The sequence below is a fragment of the Homo sapiens genome, chromosome X (assembly GCF_000001405.40).
Source record: "Homo sapiens chromosome X, GRCh38.p14 Primary Assembly".
NCBI lineage: Eukaryota > Metazoa > Chordata > Mammalia > Primates > Hominidae > Homo > Homo sapiens.
The window spans coordinates 20,260,132-20,270,195 of record NC_000023.11 but is presented as its reverse complement, the minus strand read 5'-3'; the positions used below and the strand labels follow the sequence as shown (position 1 = coordinate 20,270,195).

The window sequence follows — 10,064 nt, the reverse complement described above, 5'->3', positions numbered from 1 at the left end:
AGATACTTTATATTCTTTTTTTTTTTTTTTTACTAAGTCTGAAATCTAGAAAGAACTTCACATTTACAGCACATCTCAACTTTGACCAGCCAACCTCATTTGAAGTGCTCAGTAGCCATGTGTGGCTACTAACCACCGTATTAACCCATGCAGGTCTGGCGATCTGAGGCAGCTATTCTTTGAACAGCTACACTTAGAGTTTTCCTTTGTTAAACAGAGGGGAAAAGTAATCCTGCTTAGGGCAATATCAGCTTCTATGTTCAAGTAACTCTTTTTGCTACCACCTTCAAGAAAAATCCTCCAGCCTCATTTGATTTTTCCAAATTCTCCTAACCAAAGAGAGTGGTTGCACTGCTCTTGGATTTAATAGAAGAAATAAAAGAGAAAAAGTTTATTGTTAACAACAAAAAATCATTTTCTTTGCTTTTGGGGCAAAAGGAAGAATAATGTTCTTCTAAATAAATTCAATCAATTCATAAATACTTATCAAATTGATCCTCTGTGCAAGACATCTGTGGTAGTGGTACTTTAACTGGTTTGTTTGTTTGTTTGTTTGTTTGTTTTTGAGACAGAATTTTGATCTTGTCGCCCAGGCTGGAGTGCAATGGCACGATCTCGGCTCACTGCAACCTCCGTCTCCCGGGTTCAAGCGATTCTCCTGCCTCAGTCTTCCGAGTAGCTGGCATTACGGGTGTGCACTCCCGGCTAATTTTGTATTTTTAGTAGAGACCGGGTTTCACCATGTCGGCCAGGCTAGTCTGGAACTCCTGAGCTCAGGTAATCCGCCCACCTGGGCCTCCCAAAGTGCTGGGATTACAGGGGTGAGCCACCGCACCCGGCCACTTTAACCCATTATTAACAGTTCATGTAATGCTTAATTCACTGAAACGTGACCACCGCTCACATTACTTTTACAGATCAGGTAACTCTGTTTTAAAAGTTATTCCTCTGGTTCTCAAGGTTAACAGAGATGAATAAAAGTTGATACTGAAAATGGCATACAATTTGCTTTATTTTAAAATATTCATTCTTTGCGTGGGGGTAATTAGCACTGAACAGTGTTAGCCACATAACGGTCTCTCTTCAACTATGTATGTTTTTACTAATGCAAGAATGTTAACTGAAATAATTGATCAAAGGGTAGGGGGAGCTAATTTACTTTAAGCCAACCGAATTAACGAACTTCTTTTCGCTATAAGGAGTGGTCATGTGACTCTGCAATGTAAATGAATAAAGCATTTTGTACATAAATGCAAAATAGTACACAACTCCTTATCCTCCAAACTTCTGCAAGCACGTTTTACCGTCGGGAATTACACAGAGAAGGTGCTGCCAAATTAGCTGAGTTTGGGCCCAGGTTGGATTTGCAACACCTGAATATAGCATGTGAAGGGAAGTGACAAAGGCAAGAGCCAAGTGGCCCCATTCGCCTTCTTCCCCAGACCACGTTGAGTCTGCCCAGATGTTGTCCAACCTGAGCGGTCCCCCTGAGTCCAAAGCTTCGGGAGAAGGCGCGCAACGAGGACTTCCTGCCGCCTTCTCAGGCTCCCTAAACAGTTGGAGCCTCCCTAAATGGCCACGAGGTTCCCCGGCCTCGAGCCTGTGCCAAGGGGCGCGCTGGCGAAGGCAGCAGAAAGAGCCCAACACCTGCCTCTCGCAGGCCCAGCGAGAAACCTCGCACCGCCCGCGCAGACCTGGCCGGCTGGGTTTGGGGCTCTAATCTCATCCTCACACCTGCTTAGGGAGGCAGGCGAGGGTTCTCCAGGTGTCTGGGTCCCGGGAGGATGAAAGGAAGCTGTTAATAGGCGTGCGCTGGGAGCGCAGCAGCGGACGCGCCGTGGTCGCTGGGCGTGGGAAGACCGGGATGCCTGGGCCACGGCCTGAGGGTTTGAAGGGACAGGCCGGCTCGGAGATCTCCCTTTGCTTTTTCTCTTCCCCTCGCTGGGCGACTAGCCAGGGGCTGCAGTAGCTTTCCACTCAGCCCTGCGACTTTTACACATTTCTGCCCGGGCGCACTTAGCGCGCAGCGGCTCCTGGCGCAGTGAACACAGGGTCGAGTCCTCTTGGGACGCACCCCGGACGCCCAGGCCTTCCCCCCAAAGCTCTCGCCGTCCTGTGGGGCTCCGTCGCCGTCGGGGCATTGGGTTTCCTTAATCCAGGGCTTCCCCATCTTGGGCAGGAGGAGGAGTCAGAACCCCTCCCCTCCCTCTGTCCCCCTCCTCCTCCTCCTCCGCCCACGGCCAGCCTGATTTTTAAATCTAATCTCTTATTTAAAGTCAACAGAGGAGCAGGAACCCCGCGCTCCTGCCTACAAGATATTTTTAAATAATTCTCCAACCTCTACCGAGAGGGACAGCCTTAAGGAACCTCCCTGTTTTCCCCTCTTGAAGATTTAGGTAGCAGACGTGGGGCGGGGGGCAGCGGTTCCAGGGTCGCAGCTGAAGGCCGAGAGCTCTGCGCACTTGGGGAGGAGAATTTGGGCTGGGGGCGGTGCGGGGGAAGCGACTAATACAAGAGGAATTAATCCCAAATAGCCACAATTTAACAAAAGAGCGTCAACTTGAAAAGACTTGAATCAAACCGGGAGCCGAGCCCCCAGGAGGCTCCTAGGCACGAAGCCTCCCTTGCCTCCGTCGGGGGAGATGGGGGGCAGGTGATTTCCCAGCATGTGACCCTGAAGAGGGAGGGTCTTGGGCCATTACGGGATGCGCCCAGAGACTAGGCGCGTCCGCACGCACGCACCCCCGGAGGAGACAAGCCGAAAAGACACTCCGCACCCCTCCCCGGGTCCTTGGCTCGGGACTGCGCCCCCGGTACTTTGCCCACCTCCCTCCCCAGCTGGGCGGGGACCACTGTTCTCCCTCATTCCCAAGGAGCCTCCGACCTCCTTGGACCCTTGGCGGTGAAAGGCTCCCAGCCTTCGCCCCTCCTGCCTTTCCCATTTCTTTCCCCCGCCTCCCGCCGACGCCCCCAGATCTGTTGGGCTCGCCCTTCCTGAAAGTAGGCGAGGCCCAGAAGCTGAGGTTGGGGCGCAGAAGGAGGGGGGTGGGAAGAGGGAGGAGCGGAGCGCAGCGGCCGGGGGCGTGTCTTCCACTAGCCCAGCCCCTGGGTGCGCGCGGCGGTGGTGGCGGCGGCCGAGCCTCGCTTTGAGAGACAGGTATCGCTTAGGCGCCATGTTGTGAGCGGAAGTGGGGGAGCGCGCGGCGGTCGCTGTTCTGCTGGGAGCGGGCGCGGGAACCGGCGGGGGGGGCGGAGCCGTAGTCCCGGCGGCGGAAGGAGGAGAGGAAGAAAGGGGCGAGACCCGGTGCCCAGCGGAGGCGCGAGGCTCTCGCTCAGCGCGCGGGCGTCTCTGGCCAGGCGCGCGGCTTTCGGGCGGTCGGCGTCGGCGTCGAGCCCTCTCTGGGGCCGCCGCCGCTGCTGCTGCTGCTGCCGCTGCCGCTGCCGCTGCCGCCGCCGCCGCCGCCGCCGCCGCTGCCGTGGGGCTCGGGCGGCGACGGAGCGGGGCCGGCCGTGGGGCGGGCGGGGAGGGAGGAGGCGGTGAAGGCGGCGGGCCGGGGGGGAAGATGCCGCTGGCGCAGCTGGCGGACCCGTGGCAGAAGATGGCTGTGGAGAGCCCGTCCGACAGCGCTGAGGTGAGTGCAGCAGGGCGGCCGGGGCCGGCGCATCTCCTCCTCGCGCCCCCGCCGGCTCGCTTCGCTCCCCGGAGCTGGCCACTCGGCCCGTTCTGATCCCGCTCGCGTCTTTCCCCCGGGCTCAGGGTTTTGGTTTGGGTTGTTGGGGTGGGTCTATTGGCCGGTCTGTCTGTTCCTTCCATCCTCACCCTCACCTCCTTCCCTCGCTCGGGGGGCTGCCAGTGTGGTGGCGCGTGGGGTTTGGAGTGGGCGCTGGGGCTTTGCAAGAAGCCAATTTTAATCAACTTTGCGTGGGGGAAGCGGGAGGCGGAGCGGGGGCCGGCGGGGAGTTGGGAAGTTTGGCCCAGCCGGGTCGGGGGCTTTCCCGGACCTTGGCGACTTTGGGAGATGAGGGAGGGGTAGGGATCGGGTTCACCGGGGAGCAGGGACTCTCGAGTCCAGCCGAGGGAGGGGCTGCTGCGGGGAGACCGGCGCGCGGGGCACGGGCGGCGGCGACCTGTGGGGGTTTCGGGTAGGGGGTGCAGGGTTTTGCCTCCCCCTCGTCTGCCGCAGCGGTTTCTGCTGCTGCAAAGAAGAAAGCGGAAGCCTAAGGTCCCCTACCCCCTCCGTTTCTGAGGTCGCAGAGCTAGACCCCCGTCCCTGTGAGTTTAACTTGAGTTTCCTGTCCATGGAGGTGAGAGGGTGATATTCAAGGAGATCAGCGGCCGCCGTAAAAGGCTTTCTGGTTTTCCTCGCCCGGGATCTGGTGACCGTCCCTGAGTCACCCATCCTAGTGCCCAAAACCCAAACAATATACCCAAACAGGGCAAAACAGAATTTCCCCGGGCGCATCACTACACCGAGCTTTCCTGAACCGCCCCTATCCCAGAACAACTCGGGGTCTGCGAAAATAATCCAGACAAGACCCGTTCCAAGGTATCACCGCTCCTCTCCGGAGTGGAAAATCAATTCCTGATGGTGGCGCGTCTGTGATTCTTCCTTCTTGACTTTTTGCTGCCTTCTCTCCCCGCAGCGGACTTTAGGGGATTACAGGATGATAGGCTGCGTGTGTGTAATAGTTACTGAGTGAGTGACCCCATTTCTGGAAAGCATGACTGAAACGCGGGGGTGGAACGGGGCAGGCTCTGATGAGTGGTGTGCTTGGCGGCAGCCGCTGCCCTGCCGGCCTCCGCAGTGTGAGAAGTAGATAGGGTTACTGGTTACGTCAGTAAAACCGAGGCTCAGTTTAATCTTGAGATGCGGGACACTTGCATTCTCCGGTATAATGGAGAGGGCGGGGGATCAGTTCAAATCGCTTTTCACTTTTTCCCCCAGTCACCTCCGCTGCTGTATAACAATTTTGCTTGTTCTCCTTAACGCACGCAGAGTTGTAATAGTGCTTATGATTGGTGCTTAGTATTTTGCGACTTGGATCATACTTGTAAAACCTGAACTAAATGCTGCTCTTCAATGGAAAAGACATTGATATATGTTGAAAGAAAAGGAAAGAAAGAAAGGAAATCATGTTTTTAAGACTGGCAGAATCACAAGAACTTTATTTAAAATTGTTAACCAGACTAATACTATAAATATTTTATTAAAAAGCCAAATTTATGATGTTTAATAATCCTTTAGATGGGTAGTGTGAAAAACAGTATGCAAGAGCTCGTCATATTTTTCCCCAGAAAATTTTTTGCATTAAATAATATAGCTAAAAGGTTAATAAAATGTTCGCAAAGTACTGAACTTGTGGAAAGAAATTAAATTTGCTTTGAGCCTGACTTTTACATACAAACATTAACAATTGCAACTCAAGATCAGTCCACATTTCTGCTTGGCATGTATCAGTGTGATAGGAAAACAATATCGTTTAGAATTCCACCTTATCCTTTTTCTATCTGGAATGCATTTGGATAAGGAAGGACAAAACATATTTATTTAGCACCAACTGTATGCCAGGTACTGTGCTACATTACTATTTCATTTTATCCTTCCTGTGACCCAGCAGGGTAGGATTATGGTCCCCATTGTTATAGATTAGGAAACCAAATCTCAGAATTTAAAAGGTACAAAGATGATAAATAGTAAATGGCAGAGCCATAATTCAAAGCCAGGTGGATACAATTCATGTGCTTCGTTTTATATCAGGGTAGCTGTTCCAAATCTTTTGTGGAAAAATTCGGGGTATAAATAAGCCAGTAGTTAGAGGTCATCTATTTTCCAGAAACAAATAGAGTATTATAAGAGGTCTCATTTGGTAAAGCCTTGTTATTTCAGTTACTATCATGTTTTCCAGAACTTGACAGATAGGATTCCACAATTTGCTGTTTTCAAAGAATTTTCTTGCTATCCTGGCATAAAGTATGTCAAACAGAGCCAGTGTTGCCAAGATTTATTAAAATTAAATTCTAACAAATTGCCTTTAGATATTTAATTTCCTTTGCTTGTTCAGCTATTTCAAGTAAATTACTTCTGATACAATTTGGAAATATTGAAGACAGTGAGGGAAAGGTTGAAAAGTTCCACTCAGAGGTCTAATATTTTCACTATTATACCGTTTCCTCCCCCAGTAGGTTCCTATCAGATAATTGTATTTTACCAGAGTAACATAGTTTTTTTTAGAGTCATTTACTTGAGTGAATACATCAAAATATTTCTCTCCAGGTTAAAAGATTTCAGGATTGGTCTGTGTAGGAGTTTACATTTATGGTCTCATCCCTAGTACACTGTGAATTCTTGAAAGCAGACATTTTTCCCCCCCTCTCTGAATCCTCAGCATTCAGCACAATGCCTGGCCCTGACATATTGTGGACTTAATAAATATCTGCTGAATGAATCATGAAAGTCAGGAATAGGATGATTATGAATCTTATCTGTTTTTTATCATTTTAATCTCATTAAAATATGAACAATTTAAAAAGACCTCAGTGCCTCAGTAAAAACACAGGCAGTTTCTTCAGTTCCTTTACACTGGCCTTCCTGCTTTAAGACCTCACACGAATCTCATGGTGTTCAAAACAAAAAAACCCTTGTGGTTAAACTCAAACGTGGGTCAGAACATGATAGGCTAGAACTAGGCCAAATGTTTAAAGAAGCAAATTTAGGATAATAAAGGAAGTACTATGTAAGCAAAGTAAGGGTTGGTACAAGATAAAAAACAAACTAGCTTCCTAACTGGTCTAGGTGAACTCTTTAGTGAGTTACTTAAAGATGCTAATATGCTTTTGAATATTTGACTGTTTAGAGGATGGATAGGTAGGAATTATGGCTCTTCTGTTGTACAAATTCTTTGCCAGTGCTGTCAGAGACAGCATTTAGTGGATCATAAGCCTGACCTAGAGTGATACTTTTTTCTCCACTGCAATAGAGTAGGTATAAATGATAGTAAATCTAAATATGAAGTTTTCAAAATGATAAAATTATGGAGGTTATTTTTGTTTTATAGAAATGTGTTATATAAAATAGCCACAATATAATGTGTTGTATACAATGTGTATTAAACAATGTGTTGTATGAAAATAGCTACCTCGACTTCCTTTAAATAACAGGTACCCATGATGCACTGAAAAATATTTAAAAAATCAACTATATAAGTATTTTATTATAGAAAATGAGGCCTTTGTGTGGGAGATCATGTTTAGTGAATGTGCAGCCATTTTTAACCTCAAAGATTATGTAGTATTCTATAGTATAGTACATAGATTTTATAGTATTTCTACTATATCAATATTATATAGGTTTCTTATTTTATCTATAGGGAAAATGCTCTATTAAAGTATAATCATTGATTTTGAAAAAAAATGTTTTATTGTTTCTTTTCCTTTTCCTGTTTTATTTTTACCACCTTTCAGGTTTTTTTCTTTCCCCTAAGTGAAGATCTGAGGAGAGGACAGGTATTGTTACATGTCAACTGTCAAGTAACTGTGACCCATTACTGAACACTTCATTGTTTTCAGTGATTATGATAGAGGATGTCAGTTTTGTAAAATCTAGAAAACTTTGCTTTATTTTGGCAGCTTGATCCTGTAGTAATGGGGTAGATTCAAAATGTGAAACTTGCTGGATGCATTTAAATTTTATTAATAAAACTTTTATCTAATTGCAGGAGCAAATATAGGCAGACTTTGTCTTCTCTTTAGTATACATTTCTGGAAACCACAATAAGTATATCTTATTTTTAATAAGACAGGTGGCATAATTGGACTGTGTACTCCTGACCAAGGACTTGACATTTGCTAAATTATAGAATGACCAAAAATACAGATCACTTATCTAGAAGTCTGAGTTGCAGAACAATTGTCCTAAAGTTTTTAAAAATTTTTATTACTAAGAAATTCATACCATTGTGATAATTAACAAGATTTGCTCTACAGTTCAATGCTCAGGGACATGTGATCTGCCAGGCTGTGAATGATGGGTAAGGTCACACTTGCCTGGTTGACCCAGTGCAGAATGGGTGCTTTAGACCCAACGGTTCAGATTATAATGAATGACACACTGACATGGTGGTGGTCTCACTGGTAATGCCTGCGTGTGATAGTGCTCAGTTGTTTATGTGCTTTGGTGGATAACACATTTTAAAGCATTGAAATGCAGCTGTGCAAGTACATATATTATACATCCCGTTCCCCAATTCACATAAATAGAAAAAAACAAGTATCTAAATTGTAATACCTAGCATTCAATGTCTTCCTTCCACCCCACTCCCATCAGTGTGTTCTTTTGGAATTAATACAGTGACCTGTATCATTAACCTGGAGATATCAGATCTCAGATATTCTAGTTTATCAGTTAAACACCAAAAAGCATTAAAACAAAGAAAAACTACCCTATTTAATCGTTCAGTAAAAACTACCATATTTAATCATTAAGTTTTGTCATGATTTAGCAAAACAAACGCAAATGTGTGTGTGTCTGTGTGTGTATGTGTTTTATAAAACAGGTTCAGGATAAAATGTATCCATATAGCACATTATGATTATTTTAATACATTTGGCCTATTTATTTTTTGACAGTTTATCAAGTTGTACAATTTAAAAGCCAATATTTATTAATCCCTAATGTACAGAAACATAGGAGGAAGTTGTCTCTTTGGTTAAACAAACTGTTGAAAGATAAACTTTGGCACACCAAAATGTTTACTTTTCAATTGATAAATAATATTTGTACATTTTTATGGGGTCATGTGATATTTTGTTCCATGCATAGAATGTGTAATGATCACATCAGGGTATTTGGGATATCCATTAATCATTTCTGTGTGTTGGGAACATTTCAAATCCTCTCTTTTAACTATTCTGAAATATATAAAACATTGTTATTAACTATAGTCACCCTACTCTACTCTGCTATCCATTGTTAGAACTTATTCCTTCTATCCAATTGTATGTACTGTGCCCATTAACCAACCTTTCTTCACCCCCACCCCCTCTGTAACCCCCACACTCGTCCTATCCTCTAGTAACTCTCATTCTGAGTAGAAACTCCCTACCTATGAGTCCCACGTGTGAGTAAGAACATGCAGTATTTGTCTTTTTGTCATGTGACCTATTTTAAGCAAATACATTAGTTACTAGTAATTAAGTAATTTGGTTTTTGCTCATTCTTAAAACTTAGAAGGGACTTTGTGGGGTTATTTGGATTAATAGCAAAGTGTTAAAGAACATAAGCTCTGGAGCCATAAAGACCTGTGTTTGAGTCCTGGCTCTGCCACTTAATAACTTTGTAACCCTATGCAAGTTATATTTAATATCTCTATACTTCAACATCCTAATTTGTAAAATAGGGATGAAAATAATGTCTACCTCATAGAGTTTTGGTGAGAATTAAATGAAATGATAATATATGTAAAGTACTTGGTTCAGTACATGGTTTAAGTTTTTAATAAACAATAGTTACAATGAATCATCCCTCTTAAAGAACTGTCTCAGTTCTTTGTTTTTCCTCTGGGGTAATTTTTTAGAATCCAGCAAAGCAATTAAAAGTGATTTATTTGATTGATCAGTTTAAATAGTCATGGTAATATCTGAACGTAATTGAAAGGGCAAGGGGAACAGAAATCTCTTTAATCTTACCCTTTTTGCATTGATCCCTTCCTCAGTATTGTCTTTAAAGGGAAAAAACAACATTGTGAAGAATATATGTGGAAGAAGGAAGAAAGGAAAGTTTGTTCACATTTTTAACATTGCTCAAATTGGAAGATGTCTCACAGTCCATGGGATGTCATAGTTTAATTAGCAGCATGTTTTTCCTTAACAATATATAAAATAATAGTGTATCTTACACTTGATTGTATCTTTTAATCAATGAAATATAGTGTATTCTGTATGTCTACCTCTTGAAGATAATGTGTCCCTGAAGAAATGGTTAAAGTCAGTTTATAGCATCAATAGGTAGAATTTTAACTTTCTTTCTAAAACATACCAACACAAAATGTGCACACCTTTTTATATT

At 44.8% G+C, this 10,064-nt stretch overlaps 1 protein-coding gene across 14 annotated transcripts in view, besides 4 other annotated features; it reads left to right on the top strand.

Annotated features, from left to right (window-relative positions):
- Nucleotides 2,511-2,805: a silencer, noted in NCBI's record as "tiled region #100; K562 Repressive non-DNase unmatched - State 2:TssF". NCBI's record gives its function as "represses a minimal TATA promoter and a strong SV40 promoter by Sharpr-MPRA in K562 cells {active_cell/tissue: K562}" and the evidence as "EXISTENCE:reporter gene assay evidence [ECO:0000049][PMID:27701403]".
- The window catches only part of RPS6KA3 (ribosomal protein S6 kinase A3), a 117,187-nt gene continuing 110,221 nt past the window's right edge, over nucleotides 3,099-10,064 (top strand). For 10 of the 14 annotated variants that reach the window (XM_047442333.1, XM_005274573.3, XM_047442332.1 and 7 more), the window contains exon 1: nucleotides 3,287-3,632. In XM_047442333.1, coding sequence (XP_047298289.1) covers nucleotides 3,564-3,632 — 69 coding nt within the window. In that variant the 5' untranslated portion in view covers nucleotides 3,287-3,563. Of the gene's footprint in view, nucleotides 3,158-3,286; nucleotides 3,633-10,064 lie in introns of those variants that run through there. The other 4 variants (XM_017029719.3, XM_047442335.1, XM_011545561.3 and 1 more) reach the window with 3 other exon arrangements.
- Nucleotides 3,227-3,446: a silencer, noted in NCBI's record as "silent region_20697". NCBI's record gives its function as "represses an Ori minimal core promoter by ATAC-STARR-seq in GM12878 lymphoblastoid cells {active_cell/tissue: GM12878}" and the evidence as "EXISTENCE:reporter gene assay evidence [ECO:0000049][PMID:35858748]".
- Nucleotides 3,567-3,826: a silencer, noted in NCBI's record as "silent region_20696". NCBI's record gives its function as "represses an Ori minimal core promoter by ATAC-STARR-seq in GM12878 lymphoblastoid cells {active_cell/tissue: GM12878}" and the evidence as "EXISTENCE:reporter gene assay evidence [ECO:0000049][PMID:35858748]".
- Nucleotides 5,007-5,056: an enhancer, noted in NCBI's record as "active region_29481". NCBI's record gives its function as "activates an Ori minimal core promoter by ATAC-STARR-seq in GM12878 lymphoblastoid cells {active_cell/tissue: GM12878}" and the evidence as "EXISTENCE:reporter gene assay evidence [ECO:0000049][PMID:35858748]".